The sequence below is a fragment of the Homo sapiens genome, chromosome 17 (genome assembly GCF_000001405.40).
Source record: "Homo sapiens chromosome 17, GRCh38.p14 Primary Assembly".
Taxonomy (NCBI): Eukaryota; Metazoa; Chordata; class Mammalia; order Primates; family Hominidae; genus Homo; species Homo sapiens.
Window position 1 is genome coordinate 63,727,936 of NC_000017.11, and position 20,931 is coordinate 63,748,866.

The 20,931-nt window shown below is 44.1% G+C and overlaps 2 protein-coding genes across 18 annotated transcripts in view, besides 4 other annotated features; both read right to left on the reverse strand.

Annotated features, from left to right (window-relative positions):
- The window catches only part of STRADA (STE20 related adaptor alpha), a 39,155-nt gene extending 25,104 nt beyond the window's left edge, over nucleotides 1–14,051 (reverse strand). For 9 of the 16 annotated variants that reach the window (NM_001165969.2, NM_001363787.1, NM_001411084.1 and 6 more), the window contains exons 1-2: nucleotides 13,806–14,051; nucleotides 399–478 (exon numbers count right to left, since the gene is read on the reverse strand). In NM_001165969.2, coding sequence (NP_001159441.1) covers nucleotides 399–434 — 36 coding nt within the window. In that variant the 5' untranslated portion in view covers nucleotides 435–478; nucleotides 13,806–14,051. The remainder of the gene's footprint in view (nucleotides 1–398; nucleotides 479–13,805) is intronic. The other 7 variants (NM_001363789.1, NM_001003786.3, NM_153335.6 and 4 more) reach the window with 2 other exon arrangements.
- Nucleotides 11,990–12,489: an enhancer, noted in NCBI's record as "H3K4me1 hESC enhancer chr17:61817285-61817784 (GRCh37/hg19 assembly coordinates)". NCBI's record gives its function as "activates a minimal SCP1, AML or CMV promoter by ChIP-STARR-seq in primed H9 embryonic stem cells {active_cell/tissue: H9 hESC(primed)}" and the evidence as "EXISTENCE:reporter gene assay evidence [ECO:0000049][PMID:30033119]".
- Nucleotides 11,990–12,523: a biological region, named in NCBI's record as "H3K4me1 hESC enhancer GRCh37_chr17:61817285-61817784".
- Nucleotides 12,355–12,523: a silencer, noted in NCBI's record as "fragment chr17:61817650-61817818 (GRCh37/hg19 assembly coordinates)". NCBI's record gives its function as "represses an EF-1alpha promoter that drives an FKBP-Casp9 reporter gene in an ReSE screen in phorbol 12-myristate 13-acetate-treated (for megakaryocytic differentiation) K562 erythroleukemia cells {active_cell/tissue: K562(+PMA)}" and the evidence as "EXISTENCE:reporter gene assay evidence [ECO:0000049][PMID:32094911]".
- Nucleotides 14,027–14,146: a silencer, noted in NCBI's record as "silent region_8830". NCBI's record gives its function as "represses an Ori minimal core promoter by ATAC-STARR-seq in GM12878 lymphoblastoid cells {active_cell/tissue: GM12878}" and the evidence as "EXISTENCE:reporter gene assay evidence [ECO:0000049][PMID:35858748]".
- The window catches only part of CCDC47 (coiled-coil domain containing 47), a 28,343-nt gene continuing 24,731 nt past the window's right edge, over nucleotides 17,320–20,931 (reverse strand). For both annotated transcript variants that reach the window (NM_020198.3, XM_005257527.3), the window contains exon 13: nucleotides 17,320–19,026. In NM_020198.3, the coding sequence (NP_064583.2) occupies nucleotides 18,946–19,026 (81 nt within the window). In that variant the 3' untranslated portion in view covers nucleotides 17,320–18,945. The remainder of the gene's footprint in view (nucleotides 19,027–20,931) is intronic.

The window sequence follows — 20,931 nt, forward strand, 5'->3', positions numbered from 1 at the left end:
TTAAAACTAATGATATTACTTAGAAAAAAGTGTCCTAGTAATTACAACTTGATTTTGAAAACTCACAACCTCACGGGGGGTCATAAGCAGTTAAACGTCTACACTTAAAAGTATCATCGACTCATTTAATGTTGTATGACTGATATTCATGAAATAAGCCACTTTCTTCTTATTTCTTCTCTATCAGACAAGCTGGTGGTAAATTTTGTGTCTCTGGTCAGCCTCTGTCTGCAAACTCTTCTCAGGAGTGGAGGCTGCACTACCTGCCTTACTTCCTACATCCCTCACTTCCGTATCATTCCGACCCTCACGTAGAAAACCACCTACAACATCTGCCAAAATACACTGCTTTTCAGAAAACAAAAATAGTAAAGCCAGAAGAATAGAAAAACACTCACCCTGATTCGCTCTGGTTTACTTACAAGAAATGACATGAGTTCCTACTGTGTAGGCCTACTTCAGTTTCAAAAACTTAAACCTAAAAGGAAAATAGAAACAGGTTGAGTTAGCAAAAATCTCCTTATAGAGAAATATCTTCTGATTAACAAAAACTTATTACAGGTCTACCATTCAAAGCACTGGACTTCACCTATAAATTGCTAGATTTGTTTAGAGAAACTTTAAGTGATGATAAATCTGAATATACTTTGGCCAAGTACATTATAAAATTCTGTAATTTCTGGCCAGATGTGGTGGTTCACGTCTGTAATCCCAGCACTTTGGGAGGCCGAGGCGGGCGGATCACCTGAGGTCAGGAGTTCGAGACCAGCCTGGCCAACATGGTGAAACCCCATCTCTATAAAAAAAAAAAAAAAAAAAAAAAAAGCCAGGCAAGGTGGCAGATGGCTGTAATCCCACCTACTTAAGAATCGTTTGAACCCAGGAGATGGAGATTGCAGTGAGCCAAGATCACGCCATTGCATTCCAGCCTGGGTGACAGAGTGAGACTGTCTCAAAAAAAAAAAAAATTTTAATTAATTAATTTCTGTAGAAAGAGAAATTTGTCATTATATGGTTTTAAATTAATTCCTAAATTTCTCTTGACTTAATCCCCCACTAACCTTTTCCCAGAAGCAATTACCTTCAGTTATTTTCCATGGTTATCCTGCTTTTTATTTATTTACTTCTTATAGAGACAGGGTCTCTCTATGTGGCCCAGGCTGGTCTGGAACTCCTGGACTCAAGCGATCCTCCCATCTTGGCCTCCCAAAGTGTGGGGGTTACCACGTGAGCCACCATGCACAGTGTTATCCTGCTTTTTAATAATTATTCTTAAACAATGTTTATATGGGTATGACTTAATTTTAGACTTTTAAAATTTTCTTTACTGCTCCTTGCAGAGCAGGGCTAACTCATAGACAATGTACCCAGAGTCAGCCAGTTTTAACTTCCTACTATGGTAGATGAAGATGAAGCTTCTTATAGCATCATCTTCCACTGTATCTCCTGCTCTCATTCTACCAACATAGCTCTGGCATAATTTGGTTAAATCAATAGTCCACATTTATATTATTATGACTATGCAAATATGGTTCAGAGCTGAGGCAAATAGAAATAACTATGTCTCAGCCAGGCCTGGTGGCTCAAGCCTGTAATCCCAGCACTTTGGGAGGCTGAGGTGGGTGGATCACTTGAGGTCAGGAGTTCGAGACTAGCCTGACCAACATGGTAAAACCCTGTCTCTACTAAAAATACACAAAAAAATTAGCCAGGCATGGTGACAGGCACCTATAGTCCCAGCTACTCAGGAGGCTGAGAAAGAAGAATTGCTTGAACCCAGGAGGCAGAGGTTGCAGTGAGCCAAGGTCGCGCCACTGCACTCCAGCCTGGGTGACAGAGCTAGACTCCATCTCAAAACAAACCAAAAAAAACAACAAAAAAAAAACCATGTCTCTTTTCCTTTTCCTTTTTTTTTTTTTGAGATGGAGTTTCACTCTTGTTGCCCAGGCTGAAGTGCAGTTGCACGATCTTGACTCACTGCAACCTCCGCCTCCCAGGTTCAAGTGATTCTCCTGCCCCAGCCTCCAGAGTAGCTGGGATAACAGGTGCCTGCCACCATGCCTGGCTAATTTTTGTATTTAGTAGAGATGGCGTTTCACCATGTTGGCCAGGCTAGTCTCGAACTCCTGACTTCAGATGATCCACCCGCCTCGGCCTCCCAAAGTGCTGGGATTATAGGCATGAGCCACTGTGCCCAGACAATGTCTCTCTTTCCTTATACACCTATTTTTTCCTAGAGTTAATAACTGCCTCATTTGTTCACTTGCTTGGTTTCCCATATAGCTATTATTAACTTTTTACAAACACGCCAACATCTCTGCTATTTGCCTTATCAATGTATTTTTCCATACCCTCAAACCCATCAATTAGAATTTTCTCCTGGAAGTTGCCTTCATAGGGCCCTCCGGTCTCCTGCTACAATCTGGACTAACTGCTTTTTAGGCCAGTTGCACTTAGTTGACTTTTTTTTTTTTTTTTGAGGCGGGGTCTGGCTCTGTCATCCAGTCTGGAGTGCAGTGATGTGATCTCTGCTCACTGCAACCTCTGCCTCCAGGGCTCCAACCATCCTCCCACCTCAGCCTCCTGAGTAGCTGGAACTACAGGTACATGCCATCATGCCTAATTTTTGTATTTTTTGTAGAGACGGGCTTTGCATTGTTGCCCAGGCTGGAGTGTGGTGGCGCGATCCTGGCTCACTGCAACCTCTGCCTCCCAGGTTCAAGTGATTCTCTGGCTTCAGCCTCCCGAGTTACTGGGACTATAGGTACGCGCACCACTACACCTGGCTAATTTTTTTGTATTTTTAGTAGAGACAGGGTTTCACTATGTTGGCCAGGCTGGTCTCGAACCCTTGATCTCAGGTGATCCACCCACCTTAGGCTCCCAAAGTGTTGGGATTACAGGTGCGAGCCACTGCGCCTGGTCTCAAGCTCTTGAGCTCAAGCAATTGTCTGCCTCAGCCTCCCAAAGTGCTAGGATTACAGGTGTGAGCCACTGCGCCTGGCCCTACCCTGATATTCTTTTTTTTTGAGATGGAGTCTCGCTCTGTTGCCAGGCTGGAGTGCAGCGGTGATCTTGGCTCACTGCAACCTCCGACTCCCAGGTTCCAGCGATTCTCCTGCCTCAGCCTCCTGAGTAGCTGGGACTACAGGCGTGCGCCACCACACCCTGCTAAGTTTTGTATTTTTAATAGAGACGGGGTTCCACCATGTTGGCCAGGATGGTCTCGATCTCCTGACCTCGTGATCTGCCCGCCTCGGGCCTTCCAAAGTGCTGGGATTACAGGCGTGACTCACTGCACCTGGCCCTGATATTCTTTCCTTTTTTTTTTTTTTTTTTTTTTTCTGAGACGGAGTCTTGCCATGTCACCAGGCTGGAGTGCAGTGGCGTGATCTCAGCTCACTGCAACCTCCGCCTCCTGGGTTCAAGTGATTCCCCTGCCTCAGCCACCCCAGTAGCTGGGATTACAGGCATGCGCTACCACACCCAGCTAATTTTTTGTATTTTTTTAGTAGAGGCGGGGTTTCACCATGTTGGCCAAGATGATCTCGATCTCCTGACCTCGTGATCCGTCCGCCTTGGCCTCCCAAAGTGCTGGGATTACAGGCATGAGCCACCGCGCCTGGCCGGCCCTGATATTCTTATAGAAGCTCCTTTTCCAACCCCAGCTGAGAATCACTCATTTATCTTGTCACAAAATTTTAAAAATATAGATTTGAAAAAACATGATTAGAATGCATATTTAATAGTATTAAACACAAAGCATCATGCAAAAGAAATTTAAGAGGAAAAAAGGTCCATATCCTCATGTAGTCTACAATAGAAAGAGAAAATTAGTGTAAAGAGGCAGATAGATGTTTTTATCTGCAAAAAAAGTTTCTATGGTCTGGAAAAATTTTGGAATTTAAAAATAAAATCAAATTTTCTTTCTTTCTTTTGTTTTTTATGAGACAGGGTTTCATTCTATTGCCCAGGTTAGAGTGCAGTGGCACAATCTCGGTTCACAGCAACCTCTGCTTCCCAGGTTCACGCCATTCTCCTGCCTCAGCCTCCTGAGTAGCTGGGACTACAGGCGCCCGCCACCACACCCGGCTAATTTTTTTTTTGTATTTTTAGTAGAGACAGGGTTTCACCATGTTAGCCAGGATGGTCTCGATCTCCTGACCTTGTGATCCACCCGCCTCGGCCTCCCAAAGTGCCGGGATTACAGGCGTGAGCCACCGCGCCTGGCCTAATTTTTTGTATTTTTAGTAGAGACGGGGTTTTGCCATGTTGCCCAGGCTAGTCTCAAACTCCTGAGCTAAGGCAGTCCACCCGCCTCGGCCTCCCAAAGTGCTAGGATTACAGGTGTCAGCTACCGCACCTGGCCAATAGTGGCATATTAAAAACCATTCTTTTTTTGGAGACAGGGTCTTGCTCTGTCACCTAGGCTGGAAAGCAGTGGTGTAACCACGGCTCACTGCAACCTCAACCTCCTGGGCTCAAGCAATCCTCCTACCTCAGCCTTCTGAATAGCTGGGACCACAGGTGTGAGAAGCTGCCTGGCTAGTTAAAAAAAAAAAAAAAATTGCTTGTGTAGGCCGGGCGTGGTGGTTCATGTCTGTAGTCCCAGCACTTTGGGAGGCTGAGGCAGATGGATTTCTGGAGCTCAGGAGTTCAAGACCAGTGTGGGCAACATGGCGAAAGCCCATCTCTACAAAAATATAAAAATTAGCCAGGCATGGTGGCATGTGCCTGTAGTCCCAACTACTTGGGAGGGTGAGGTGGGAGGATACCTTGAACCTAGGAGGCAGAGGTTGAAGTGAGCCACGATCGCACCACTGCACTCCAGCCTAGGTAACAGACTATGTTGTCCAGGCTGGTCTTGAACTCCTGGGCTCAAGTGATTCTCCTACCTTGGCCTCCCAAAGTGGTGAGACTAACAGTATGAGCCACCACACCCAGCCTAAAAACCATTTTCTTTTTGGGGAAGGACAGAGTCTCGTGCTGTTGCCCAGGCTGCAATGCAATGGTGTGGTCTCGGCTCACTGCAACCTCCACCTCCCAGGTTCATGCGATTCTCCTGCCTCGGCCTCCCAAGTAGCTGGGATTACAGGCACCCGCCACCACACCCAGCTAGTTTTTTTGTATTTTTAGTAGAGACAGGGTTTTACCATGTTGGCCAGGCTAATCTTAAACTCCTGACCTCAGGTGATCCGCCCACCTCGGCCTTCCAACTAAAAACCATTTCCTAAGAAGATTTTGGGCCTGCCAATGGGCACAAGCTAGACACACTTTTGCAAAGAGATAGGATACCCTTCTGTTCAGGTATGAATCTTTATCAGACTCCTCAATGTTCACTACTAAATGTTTAAGACATATGGGTCATATATAACTGACAATAAAACAGCAGTAATCCTGGTATTTGTCAGAATACAATCTTTTTTTTTTATTTCCTTTTAAAAATTGTATTCAGTTCTCTTGCTTTTTCTTCTTCCTTTTATCTTTGCTTTTCTATTCTTGTTTATCTTATTTTTCATCTCAAGTGGAACTGGCTCAAAGAATACAATCTTCAACCCACTCCCATTCCCATATCTCTCAAAAGACCAATTTAAAGAAATAGTATTTACAGACTGGGATTCTGCAGAAGAAGGGTTAATATAGCAGGCCTAACTTCTTATCCTTTAAAAAGTCTGCTTACGTGGTTAGCCACTGGCTGGCATTGGGGAACTTGGATTTTGAGAGATTTCCCATTTTCCTAAAAATGACAAGAGTGGCTTATTATGCCTAAACTATTTGTACAAACAGTATGGTTTATGCTGAACACCTGCTTTCCTTCTGGGAGTCCAGTTTTGATACATGCCAGGCACAGGCTGCCTACATGACCATCCTGGGTATGGAGTTTCTAATGAGCTTTCCTGGTTGATAACATTTCACACATGCTACCACAACTTCTTGCTTTGAGTCCTGTGTCACTCTACTGGGGAGGATCCTTGGAAGTTTGCTCCTGGTTTCCCCCAGACTTCACCCCATGTGCTGTTTCCCTTTGCTGGTTTTTCTTTGTATTCTTCTGTTGAAATAAATCCTAGCCATGAATGTGACTATATGCTGAGTGCTGTGAGTCCTCCTAGTGAATTACTGAACCTGAGGGTGTTCTTGGGAACCTCCAATACAGGGATACCTGAAGGAAATTATTTTAAATGTTCTAAATCTATTCCTGGATTAAGGCTGGCCAATGGATGGCTACAGGCCTAGGTCTTACTCTATTTGCCTCCAATAAAATTATTTTTACTGAACTGTACTTGAATAGCCTTTATTTTATATCAAAAGCTCTAAGAAACTTGTCACTGTTTTCAATAAGAATGTTCTAAAAATGCTTTTATTACTGTGTTCACTAAATGAGAAGAGGCAGAGGAAATGTCATTCTGGATTAAGAATCAGGGATAGGTTGGGCACGGTGGCTCATACCTGTAATCCCAGCACTTAGCAAGGCTGAGGCAGGCGGATCACTAGAGGTCAGGGGTTAGAGGCCAGCCTGGCCAACATGGTGAAAACCCCATCTCTATAAAAAATACAAAAATTAGCCGGGCATGGTGGCACTGGCCTGTAATTGCAGCTACTTGGGAGGCTGAGAATCGCTTGAACTCGGGAGGCAGAGGTTGCAGTGAGCCGAGATTGCGCCACTGCACTCCAGCCTGGATGACAGAGTGAGACCCTGTCTCAAAAAAAAAGAAAAAAGAATCAGGGATACTTTTGCTTTTTCTGAATTTTTGCCAAACTAACTTCAACCTTGACCAAATTAATCTTTCCCTAACAGCATTTACCACATGTGTATTTCAGTCCTATGTAAGAAAATGGTAAAGACACACAAAGAACTTGGAAATGTTTCAAAGATAGTAAAGATTAATTTAGAAAAATAGAAGCTATTAGGAAAGGTTAACATCTAGAAAAGAGCAAATTTGGCTGGGCACGGTGGCTCACACCTGTAATCCCAACATTTTGGGAGGCCAAGGCAGGTGGATCACCTGAGGTCAGGAGTTCAAGACCAGCCTGACCAACAGGGAGAAACCCCGTCTCTAATAAAAAATATAAAAATTAGGCATGGTGGCGGGCACCTGTAAGCTCAGCTATTTGTGAAGCTGAGACAGGAGAATCGTTTGAACCCAGGAGGGAGAGGTTGCAGTGGGCCGAGATCGTGCCATTGCACACGCCAGCTTGGGTGACAGAGCGAGACTCTGTCTCAAAAAAAAGAGTGAGCTAATTTCACCCATAATGTTACTATACAAATCGTAAGAATAATCAATAAGGTTAAAACATGGCTAAAGGCTCATTAAGAGTAACCTGAAGTCAGAGATTTATACTTAAGGGTGACAATATGGCGTAGTAAAAAAAGCACATACTCTGAAATAAGACGAGCATGGTATGAATTGCGTTCTTGCATCTGTGTTAACTTGATCAGCATACTTTGGCTTGCCGAATCTCAACGTTAATAACTCTAAAATGAGGTTAATGACATCCGTCTGACACCTGAGACAAATATCTTTCTCCCTCTGATAGTGATGCTTATAATAATGGCTTATGTTTCTAGGAGAGACCTTAAAATTAACTTTTTCAGAGAATTAGAAAGATTAGATTTCAGGTTTCTGATTTAAGATTTTAGAATCTCACCTCTCTCCCAAGGTCCCAATTAAGGCAAAGGAATACAAATAATAACCATATATCTGAGGACAGAATGAGAGGAGCTATTAGATGAAATTTCAATAAATTTCTAGGAGTTGAAAAGTGGACATAAGGGTGCTGTCTCAGGAAATGGAGAGAAAGCTGCAGGCTAGAATGTGAATGGAGAGTATAGTAGAGGAGACGGCAGATATGCCCAGCAGACAATCCTAAGGGGTTCTGAAACAAAACTGCGCAATAAGGAATGAGGGAAGGAGAAGTGGGGCTGAAAACAAGCCCCTGGCGTAACTGCCCACTCATGTCCATGAGTCTTAAATCCACAGAGCTCCCAGTCAGCAGCTTTTCTATTCCTCTTTTTTTTTTGAGACGGAGTCTGGCTCTGTCGCCCAGGCCAGGCTGGAGTGCAATGGTGCGATCTTGGCGCACTGCAACCTCTGCCTCTTGGGTTCAAGGGATTCTCCTGCCTCAGCCTCCGGAGTAGCTGGGATTACTGGCATGTGCCACTACGCCCGGCTGATTTTTGTATTTTTAGTAGAGACGGGGCTTAACCATGTTGGCCAGGCTGGTCTCAAACACCTTAGGTGATCCACCCGCCTCAGCCTCCCAAAGTGCTGGGATTACAGGCATGAGCCACTGCACCCAGCCCCATACACGGTTTTTAATGAAATTATTTTAATGTACTCCAAATAATATTCCAGTAAAATGAGGCTAAAATTTAAAAAGGAAGCTATGAGATATAAAAAGTGGTGTGTCCAGCCGGGCGCGGTGGCTCACTCCTGTAATCCCAGAGCTTTGGGAGGCTGAAGCGGGTGGATCATCTGAGGTCAGGAGTTTGAGACCAGCCTGCCCAACATTGCAAAACACTGTCTCTACTAAAAATACAATAATTAGCCAGGCATGTTGGCAGGTGCCTGTAATGCCAGCTACTCGGGAGGCTAAGGCAGGAGAATTGCTTGAACTTGGGAGGCAGAGGTTGCAGTGAGCCAAGATCACGCCATTGCACTCCAGCCTGGGTGACAGAGTGAGGCTCTGCCCCAAGAAAAAAAAAATAATAATAAAGTGGTGTGTCCACTGAAGAGATATCTCAAGATGATAGCTACGAAGCTGATCAAGAAAGGAATCAGTCAAAACTAGAACATGAAGTTGGCAGGTTGAAGAAAATATAATAATATCATGAAATATACAGATTATAAAGGATGAAAAATATCACGGACAGGGTGGAAAGTGGCCTATTTCTTCCCCCCACGCCCCCCCCACCAAAAAAAAATCAAGCAGAAAGGCAACCAAAAATTCCAACAGAAATTAAAACTATATTTTAAAAGTCAAAGTCCGAATTTGAAACAAACTTAAATGTGTTACAATTTTTAGATAGCATGGCTGGGCACAGTGGTCCACGCCTATAATCCCAGCACTTTGGGAGGCTGAGGAGGGCAGATCACCTGAGGTCAGGAGTTCAAGACCAGTCTAGTCAACATGGTGAAACCCTGTCTCTACTAAAAATACAAAAAGTAGCTGGGCATGGTGGCACATGCTTGTAGTCCCAGCTACTGGGGAGGCTGAGGCAGGAGAATCGCTTGAACCTGGGAGGCGGAGGTTGCAGTGAGTCAAGATCATGCCACTGCACTCCAGCCTGGGTGACAGAGCAACACTCTATCTCAAAAAAAAAAAAAAAAAAAAAAAAAAAAATTGAGATAGTTCAGCAAGGAATGAGAAAGAAAATCCACTTGACCTTGAATGAGAAGGAAGTTAGGACAGTGGACCGCAGTGCAGAATAACACTTGGCTGTTTTGTGAATAATACTTACAATACTGTTAAGTGCTCATCATCAGCTTATAAATTTTAAGTCTATAGACAAAGCATGATAAACTTAATTACAGTTATAGAACACAATGTAAATGCCTTCAAATTTGATAATATGAAAGTAAAGTTTCACCTGACAGAAGATGGGAAATGGAACAGGGAAGAGATAGAGGAATGACTGGGGAAGCTAATACCCCTATCTTCCTAAGAAGGTAAAGTTAATACTGAAAGTTGATAGGATAACAAATAGAAAGTTATGTACAATATTTAAGGTTACAAAGGTAACCAACAAGTGTAAAAATAGAGGGATTCAACTATCAAAAGTTTGGAGGTGCTGGTTGGGTACAGTGGCTCATGCCTGTGTTCCCAGCACTTTGGGAAACAGAGGTGGGTGGATCACTTGAGCCCAGGAGTTTGAAACCCCAACTCTATAAAAAATAAAAAAACTGGCCAGGTGTGGTGGCATGTGCCTGTGGTCCCAGCTACTCAGGAGGCTGAGACGGGAGGATCACTTGAGCTCCAGAGGTGGAGGCTGCAGTGAGCTGAGATTGAGCCACTGCACTCCAGCTTGGGCAACACAGAGGGACCCCGTCGAAAAGAAAAGAAAAGAGAAGAGAAAAGAAAAACGAAAATAAACGAAAAGAAACGAAAAGAAAAAAGAAAAGAAGGGGCTGGGCACGGTGGCTCACGCTTATAATCCCAGCACCTTGGGAGGCCGAGGCGGGCAGATCACAAGGTCAGGAGTTCGAGACCAGCCTGGCCAATATAGTGAAACGCCGTCTCTACTAAAAATACAAAAATTAGCCGGGCATGGTGGCGGGCACCTGTACTCCCAGCTACTTGGGAGGCTGAGGTAGGAGAATTGCTTGAAACCGGGAGGCGGAGGTTGTAGTGAGCCGAGAGTACACCACTGCACTCCAGCCTGGGCGACAGAGCGAGACTCCGACTCAAAAAAAAAAAAAAAAAGAGAAAAGAAAAAGAAAATGAAAAAAAGAAAAAGTTGGGAGGCAGTGAGGAGGGGGTGGTGTGAGATTCAGCATGACCTTTACTCTCTTGGAAAAATAAGGAGAAGCTTCACTAGTCATTTCTCTGTCTCTCCTGTCAGTGGAAAGTCTAAACATGTTGTTTAGAATTACAGAAGTCCATCATTAAAGGACTAAAACAAAAAATGATTAAATTAATTGAGGCCAGGCCCAGTGGCTCTGCCTGTAATTCCAGCACTTTGGGAGGCCAAGGCAGGCAGATCTCCTGAGCTCCGCAGTTCCACACTGCCCCAGGCAATATGGTGAAACCCCATCTCTCCTAAAATACAAAAAATTAGCAGGGTGTGATGGCATGCACCTGTAGTCTCAGCTACTCGGGAGACTGAGGCAGGAGGTTGCAGTGAGCTGTGATTGTGCTACTGCACTCCAGCTTGGGCTGCAGAGTGACACTCCATCTCAAAATAATAATAATAATAATAATAATAATGGGGAACAGGCCGGGTGCGGTGGCTCACGCCTGTAATCCCAGCACTTTGGGAGGCAGAGGCGGGCAGATCACGAGGTCAGGAGATCGAGACCATCCTGGCTAACATGATGAAACCTCATCTCTACTAAAATTACAAAAAAAATTAGCCGGGTATGGTGGCGGGCGCCTGTAGTCCCAGCTACTTGGGAGGCTGAGGCAGGAGAATGGCGTGAACCTGGGAGGCGAAGCAAGACCGTGCCACTGCACTCCAGCCTGGGCAACAGAGCGAGACTCCATCTCAAAAAAAAAAAAAAAAAAAAAAAAGGGAAATAGACACAGGGATGGAGAGAGATAGAGATGAGACTGGTATTTTTCTTTATAGCCCCCTATACAATTATTTTAATAACTGCACACAGGTATTTTCTTTGATAAAATCTTACTAATAAATTTCATCTGAGCTGGTTTAGAGTAGCTCTACCTAGTGATTAGCAGTAAATGGTATACAAATTATGAAGGACTTTTCTATTTTCAGATTGAATCATGTACAGATGAACTTGCCCAGGCTGGTCTCAAACTCCTGAACTCAAGCAATCCTCCTGCATCAGCCTCCCAAAGTGCTAGGATTACACCATGCCCGGTTATCTGTATGACATTAACATCATCACTCTGCTCCCTTCAAATTTCCTTAAAATGCAAATGTAAATGTCCTTAAAATGTAAATTCTAATGGAAGGGGAGGGCAGATGGATATCATTCGAAAGATATATCCACACTTATCAAAAATTAAGAAATACATATGTATGTGTATATTATATATTATGCATATATGTATATATTATATATGTACATAGTGTATTAATATGTATACATATATAATTTTATGTGTATATATTATGTATACATATTGATACATTATATATTTATGTATATATGTACATATATACATATAATGTACATAATTATATGTATATACATATAATGTACATAATTATATGTATATACATATAATGTACATAATTATATGGCCCGGGACGGCTGCTCCGACGAAGGCCCGGGCCTGGGGAGATGGAATCGGTGGCAGAGCGAGGAGTGACTGGCTCCGGCAGTGCACCAGGCACCCCGCCAGGCAGGTACCTGTTCCTGGTTTCAAACTCCGGAGCTCAAGCAATCCTACTGCCTCAGTCTCTCAAAGTGCTGGGATTACAGAGGTGGGCCACGGTACCCAGCCTATCAGAAACATTTAACACTATATATATATATATATATATACATACATACATATATATATACACATACATATATATATATACACACACACACACACACACACACACACACACACACAACAAAGCAATATTACTAGTGGACAGACATAGAAATAGCTTTATTGGCCGGGCGCGGTGGCTCACGCCTGTAATCCCAGCACTTTGGGAGGTCGAGGCTGGTGGATCACCTGAGGTCAGGACCTCAGAGATCGGCCTGACCAACATGGTGAAACCCCGTCTCTACTGAAAATACAAAAATTAACCAGGTGTGGTGGGGGGTGCCTGTAATGCCAGCTACTCGGAAGGCTGAGGCAGGATAACTGCTTGTACCAAGGAGGCCGAGGTTGCAGTGAGCGGAGATCGCGCCATTGCATTCCAGCCTGGGGGACGAGGGCGAAACTCCATCTCAAAAAAATTAAAATAAAAATAAAGAGAGAAAATAATAAACCCAGCAAACATTTATGGCAAACTTCCTACGTGTCAGGCACTGTGCTAAATGCTTCATGAGCAGCTCACAAGTATTATCATCTCTGTTTTACGGATCAGGAAATTCAGGTGTGCAGGGAGGTTAAATGCCCAAAGTCACACAGATAAGTGGTAGGGGACTAATTAAATCTGTTCCAAAGCCTGCGCTCTAAAAACCAGAGTAAACTTCCTCCATTTCTGGGGCCACAACTATAAACACTGCATTCCAGCCAAAACACCTCTAAGAAATCTGATTAAAAAGTAGGGGACAGATTTGACCAGTTCAGCACTGTAACTAAAGGCTGAATTCACAGGCTTTTGGCAGGTGATCAAATTTGGTTTCTTCCTTAACTCTCAGGGACAAGAAACAGTCCTGGGTGTCTTCAGGAAGGTATGAGTGTCAATGAAGAATTGTCTTAACGTCGCATATACGTATTGGAACATGCTTCTACTTGAACAGATATTACAATAAGAAAAGGGCAAATTCCAACGGCTCTTTCTCCGGGAAAGTCAAGTTAAAGTATGTTAGGATACAGGAGAAGGCTGGGCAGAGAGGTTAGTTCCCTATTTCCTGAGAACTATGAACAATTTTACCTACCCACTGCCCCTCCCTCGAGCTCTCTTCCTTATCCCCAACCCCCATCTCCGGCGCCCAAATCCCCTGCAGGCACCCAAAAAACATTTCTGGAAAACAAAAAGACAATGAGCTCTTCGTTTAGGCCGATTCTGGGAGTCATCTGGATCTTGTGTCCTTACGAGGACTTGACCCGCTGCCTGTCAGCCCAAAGTGCGCGGCGGCTGGGGACAGCGGGGAGCCCAGGACCGGGGTCGGCCGCCACTCTGCCTGAACAGGACAAACCGGCACCCAGCCCTAGGTTCCCCACCTGGAAGTCCTAGGGGGTGGGGAGGAAGGGGAAAGCAGGAGCCCGCCTCTCTCGCCCGGCAACTCCGCTTCAGCGTCTCCCCGCCAGGCCCAAGCCTATTCTGCTCTCGGGCTGCGGCGCCTCATTGCGGGAGTCGAGGACGCGGGTTAAAAAGGGGGCCCGTGGAGGGTGAGGTGAGCCCAGGATGGCCGCTCCGACGAAGGCCCGGGCCTGGGGAGATGGAATCGGTGGCAGAGCCAGGAGGGACTGGCCCCGGCAGCGTACCAGGCACCCCGCCAGGCAGGTACCTGTTCCTGGAGTTAGCAAGCAGCCCCGACCGTCTTGGCTCCGCCTCCTCAGTTTTACTGCCGCGCCGCCGCCAGACCGGTTGCTGGGAGGGGAGTACGCAACGTGCCATGCGCAGTGGGGCGACCGGGAGGACTGATAGAGCGCTCCGCCCCACCCCGCCCTGCGGGGAAGTCCCGCCCTTTCCGAGTGGCCGCGGCTGCGGCAGGCCCTAGCAGCCGCCGCCGCGCCGAGAGCGGTTCTCAGTTCCCGTTGTCTTTCCCGCCGCGCAGCGCTTCCGCCTACAGCCTCCGCCCCCGCAGCAGGAGGGGGAAGCAGGTGGCTTCAACAATGAAGGACCAGAGAAAGGCAAACTTGGCTGTTCCTGAGAATTGTGTTTTTCTCATTTCATGTGGTAGGACTTCTAATGGAAAACCCGCCTCGCACTTTTCTTGGACGACATCTCAAATGCCCCTCACTTTGGCCTCTCGGGCACCAGACAACAAGCTGCAAAGGGGAAGCCCATCCTTTCTTTGCTCCCCACTATTTGTAAAACAAGGAAAATAGCTCAACTAATGAAAACGATCTTGTCCCCTCAGTATCTTTTTTTTTCCCCCGAAGCCTTCCTCATCCACAGCTGAAGCCGTTTGTGGAAACCTATCAGGTTTGTCCAAGCCAGGTTATGCAGAGCTTGAGAAATGAGGAAGCGATGAACTAAGCCTCACTCCTGTGAGACTAGGTTTTTCAGTGACTTATCCCCCGCGTGCGCAGGAGGGGGTATCCAAAACGCGGATATATACCATCAGGTAATGAACACTCGCTCTTGCCAGCTCTGAGCTTTGACACAGATTTAGACCGTCCTAACTTCCAAGACTGGGGGAGGAGTTTAGCTACATCCAAGTAGGGACTTATAGAAATATGCCCCTGGAAGGCCGGGCGCGGTGGCTCACGCCTGTAATCCCAGCACTTTGGGAGGCCGACGCGGGTGGTTCACTAGGTCAGGAGATCGAGACCATCCTGGTTAATACGGCGAAACCCCGTCTCTACTAAAAGTACAAAAAAATTAGCCGGGCGTGGTGACAGGCGCCCGTAATCCCAGCTACTATGGAGGCTGAGGCAGCAGAATGGCCTGAACCCGGGAGGCGGAGCTTGCAGTGTGCAGAGATCGCGTCACTGCACTTCCAGCCTGGGCGACAGAGCGAGACTCCGTCTCAAAAAAAAAAAAAAAAAAAAAGAAAAAAAGAAATATGCCCCTGAAACTGTGGGACCTGTATGCACATGAGTTCTCATTTGATCTTACATACATCACTTTGATTTTTTTTTTTTTTTTTTTTGAGATGGAGTCTTGCTCTGTTGCCCAGGCTGGAATGCAGTGACGTGATCTGGGCTCACTGCAACCTCTGCCTCCTGGGCTCAAGCAATTCTCCTGACTCAGCCTCCCAAGTCGCTGGGACTACAGGCGCACGCCACAACGCCTGGCTGATTTTTGTATTTTTAGTAGAGACGAGGTTTCACCATATTGGTCAGGCTGGTCTTAAAATCCTGACCTCAGGTGATCCACCAGCCTCGGCCTCCCAAAGTGCTGGGATTACAGGTGTGAGCCATCTGTGCTGGGCCACATCATTTTGATTTTATCGAGTGCTTTGACATTGCTAAGGGCTACCCTCACATGCTCTCATTCTCAAAATAAGATGCCACTCTCAGGAGCAAACTTGGTAAACTCACAAAGCAACAGAGTATAAACAGAGAAGTAAAATTTCTAGCAGTGTTCTACTGAAGGGTCTTTCACATGTGGTCTTTTGGAACCGAGTATTAGAGAGACTGTCTGAAAAGATGCTAAACTTCTTGCAGCCATTACAAATGGGTAGAGAAAACATATTGTCTCAGAACTGTTCTGTTTTAGCAGTCTGTAACAGAAGACACTCCTATGGGTATAACTCTTTTTTTTTTTTTTTTTTTGAGACGGAAGTCTTGCTCTATTGCCCAGGCTGGAGTGCAGTGGTGCAATCTTGGTTCACTGCAACCTCTGCCTCCTGGGTTCAAGCGATTCTCCTGCCTCAGCCTCCTGAGTAGCTAGGATTACAGGTTTGTGCCACCGCACCCGGTTAATTTTTGTATTTTTAGTAGAGACGGGGATTTGCCATATTGGCCAGGCTGGTCTTGAACTCCTGACCTCATGTGATCTGCCTGCCTCGGCCTCCCAAAGTGCTGGGATTACAGGCATGAGCCACCGCGCCCGGCCTCTTGTCTCTCTTACATCGTTTCACATCATTCAAAATGAGAGGAGGCAGGAATGGTAAGGAATGAGAACCTGGGATGATAAAGCACAGTGTTTCACCTCTTCCTGCCAAATCCACTGGATTCTTGTACAACACAATTCTAAACAATTCCTACTGAATTGCCAATTCCTACTGAATGGGTGGAATAAGAAATCAATGTTTTTCTTTGGTCTAAATTCCATCTAAAGAAAGGAGTTAGGGCCAGGCGCACTGGCTCACGCCTGTAATCCCAACACTTTGGGAGGCCGAGGTGGGTGGATCACGAGGTCAGGAGATCGAGACCATCCTGGCTAACACAGTGAAATCCCATCTCTACTAAAAATATAAAAAATTAGCAGGGCGTGGTAGCACACATCTGTAGTCCCAGCTACTCTGGAGGCTGAGGTAGGAGAATTGCTTGAACTTGGGAGATGGAGGTTGCAGTGAGCCGAAATTGCACCACTGCACTCCAGCCTGGGCAACACAGTGAGACTCCATCTCAAAAACAAAAAAAAGAGGAGTTTCACATCTGGTCTTTACAGGAAAAGGTTTGCTACTACTAAGGAAACAGAATCATAAGCTACTCCCCTCTTCCTCAAAAAATACCCTATCAATTTTTGCAGATAAAGAACTCTGAAAGGATCTGCTTGGTTTCCATTGGGAGAAAGAAAAGCAAAAGAGAGTAAAGCAAGAATGCATCACTTGGAGACCAGTCCTAGATGATGCCTTATACTTGCAAAGTGCTTAAACAGTTTACAAAACAATCTCACATATATATTTTCTCTTAGTGTTCAACTACCTGTGAAGCAGGCAGGGCAAATAATTACTATCCTCACTTCACATTAGGTTAATAACTTGCCGAAAGTCAAAGGATTAGTAATTAGTTCTGCTGGCACTAAAAGCCAGGTCTTTGTCTTACAGTCCAGTGCTTATTTTGGCATTGCTAAACATCCAGGCAATGCAAATGAGATTGGAGACTTAGTGGTTTTCCAGTTTGTGACACTAAACAACATCCTCCTCTCTTTGTCCTCGCATTCACAGGAGAGTTAATGGAGTCTTAAGAGGTGGAATGCAGGGAGGAGCCCATAAATAACATATGGGGCTCTAAAAATATAAAATGTTTTTAAAATGATTGAATGGTAATAACAAAAGGAATATTCAGATGAACTCTTTTGAAGGAAAAGCATTTCAGTGCTGACTTTTATCGAACAGAAAGAATTTTCCTCTGAGCTTATACTCTTGTAGGATAACTCCACAAAGTCAAGGCGGCACTCTGAGATTTTGTCAATCACTTTAATAGATGTCCATAGGTAGTTCATATGAATGCTTAAGTTACAAAATTAGCTGCCATGGTCCAAATGTATGGGACTTTAGGAAAGCTTTTCTTACTCAAAAGATAACTAAGACTATCAACTTTGATTTCTAAAATGTAATTTAAAGGTTTGTAAAACAAGGCCACTACTATAATTATATAATATTAAAGTAATTAAGTTTTATGTTAGTTATTTTAATAACAACTTCATGAACTGTTAAAAATATTACATTTGCATCTCTCAGTTTACATATTTCTGTATTAACTTGGAGAAAAACCCATGTGAAAAGTTTCCATGCAGTTACAAAGGCAGCAGCACATGCTGTTTTCACAGCAACTTGTTATTGCCTCAGAACAGGCCTGCACTAAAGCATCAACAAAAAATACCCACCACCCCACTCCCACCAGAAAACCCAACCCTTACCCATCCCCGGCAAAAATTACCTGGTACAAGCAATGACCTAAAAATGCTTTCTTGGTAAGAAGCATTTATAAAATGCAGAGATCTGAACAAGCTAAGTGCTCGTGCAGATACATGGGCCTCTCCTCCAAGAGTTGGTTCCGCAAGAGGTGGAAAGAACTCTCAATAGTTTAGGAAAGCTCATTTTCAAAAGTATACTTACACATATTCATGGCCATTTCTTTGAAAGAACATACCCAGCCTCAACTGTGGAAAAGATAAAAGCAGAGGGAGAAGCAACGGCACACAGCCATAATATAGAGAACAGAGCTTCTCCATGAACATCCACCAGGCTGCAGCAACCAAGAAGGAAAAAACATTTGTGATTTCACACAGACCAATGATCTTACCTAGGTGAAGCATTAATTTTTCATGCATTTGTTACTCAAGAAAATAAACATACAACCACTTAAAATACAGCATTCACGTTGTCACTGGTTCGTGGTATCAGGTAAGGAAAAAATGATGCTCCTGTCCCTAGAATTTTCCATGTACATGTCAGTATCCTAATGCCTACAGACTTCCTATTAATTTTGTTATCAGCATCTCCCACCTAAAAACATATACTACATTATGTTCTGGGTCCCTGAAATTTCATTACTACATACAGTGTTCTAATTTTTACTTTTTCTCAAGTTTAATGTAGACATACAAGAAAACATCAAGCAATGTTTATTGTGCAATTCCAATCATTATTTGCAGAATCTTGGTTTAGAGTCAGTCTTTATAGCCATTTCAACTGCTTGGTTTAAACAAAAAGCAACAATCTGGTTATCTACCTATAAATTTCACGGTATTTCTTTAAACACTGAAGTACTAAAAGCACTGATGATTTGTATTATAATTTTTAAAATATTTAAAACCTACACAGATTTCATAGATCATTCCTTTTATAAAATAATCAAAATAATTTGATTATCTGGAAAAAAAAATTCTTGAAACAGAGCCCTTTCCAGGTATCTTCAATCTCTGTAAAACCCCAAACCCCAAACAGAGTAGATGATGAAATAAGGATTTCTCAGTTGCCCAAGACTGTCTGAAATTTAAGGTTGAGAAATGGACTGGCGTTTTTCATGTTTCCTGTGAATTCAGAGCTTACAGGTGGCATCAGAACTCAAATCTCTGGGATGGCTTTACATGGCTTTCACTTTGATTTGTTTCATTTTCATTTGCTTCTTTTCCAACTTCTTTTGCTCACGCCTCAATGCAGCCTCCTAGAGAAAGAAGGGGTAATAAATAGAGAAAGGGAGTGGGGACGAGAGAATTCAAATTAAGCTTGAAACATATGTTAAAAAAAAATCCAAATTAGAATACTGCCTATAGTATTATTCAAAAACTTAGGCTTGCACCATAACATTCTAGAAGATAGTTATAAAAATAATTGCCAATATCTACATTAGTGAATAAAAATTAAATCAACTTCAAATGAAGCAAAGGTAAACTAAAATCTCAGTTTTGAAAGAAACTACTATAATTAACCAGCCTTTGTTATTCTGGTTTGATTTTTTTCTGTACCCAGGGAACACTTAGCCTGATGTTCACCATACCATTCATGATGGCATTATATCATAAATGTATAACTGCCAGAAGATACATTCTACTTCAGTTCAATAAATTTTAAGAATCTTGTTCCATCAGGTTATTCATTGCAAATTTCTTATTAGCACAGACACCATACCTGCACATAATACTTAAATTCATAATGCTCTATTTGAGACATCATATTTATCAAATGTGATAAAAATTATCAAATTTATCATATTTTTATTTAGGAATTAGGAAGTTACATAGAAGAGTAAGAAGGTTCAGGTTATTATTACGTGGACTGATAGAAGCCTTAGAGGTCAAGTCAAAGTATGACTTCACTGTTGGCCACTAGTGGTCACACCTGATTAAAAGTTTATTTCAGCTACAATCTCAAACTTCTTATTTTTAGGGTACTGGGGTAAAAATGTGCTCAGAAATATACTCAACTGGTACAGGATGGAGAAAATAGGGAAGAAAAGAAGAAGTGCAAAGCATATATAGTTCTTCATAGTGCAACAAATTAGGTTTCAAAGGGTGATTTGTAAATTCCTGGTTTGGGAACTATTGACTGTCTTAGGTTTTTTCTTTATTTTTTTTTGAGATAGGGTCTTGCTGTGTCACCCAGGCTGGAGTGCAGTGGCACAATCTCGGGTCATTGTAGCCTCTGCCTTCCGGGTTCAAGCCATTCTCCTGCCTTAGCCTCCCGAGTAGCTGGGATTACAGGCATGTGCCACCACACCCAGCTGATTTTTGTATTTTTAGCAGAGACGGGGTTTCACCATGTTGGCCAGGCTGGTCTCAAACTCCTGACCTCAGGCAATTCACCGACTATGGCCTCCCAACGTGCTGGGATTACAGGCGTGAGCCAATGTGCCTGGCCAGGTTTTTTTTTTTGTTTGTGTTTGTTTTTGAGACAGAATTCTTGCTCTGTTGCCTGGGATGACTCTCCTGCCTCAGCCCCCGGAGTAGGTGGGATTACAGGTGTGTGCCATCATGCCCAGCTAATTTTTGTATTCTTAGTAGAGATGGGGTTTCACCATATTGGCCAGGCTGGTGTTGAACTCCTGACCTCAAGTGATCTACCTGCCTCGGCCTCCCAAAGTGTTAGGATTATAGGCATGAGCCACCGCGCCCGGCCTATCTTAGGTTTCTTTTCAATTTTTTTTTGAGGTGGAGTTTCGCTCTTGTTCCCCAGGCTGGAGTGCAATGGCGCAATCCCGACTCACTGCAACCTCTGCCTCCCAGGTTCGATCCCAATGTCCTCTTCCCATTGTCCCAACCCCTACCTTCACCACATTCACTCTTTTCCCAGCACTATCTATCCCTATCTCCCATATTACATATTACACACATGTGTAAAACTAATGATACACAGAATACAATATCATGTATAAGAAATATTGGCCGGGCGCAGTGGCTGAGGCTGGTGGGCCACTTGAGAGGTCAGGAGTTCGAGACCAGCCTGGCTAATGTGGTGAAACCTCGCCTACACTTTGGGAGGCTGAGGTGGGTGGATTACTTGAGAGATCAGGAGTTCAAGATCAGCCTGGCCAATGTGGTGAAACCTCATCTCTACTAAAAATACAAAAATT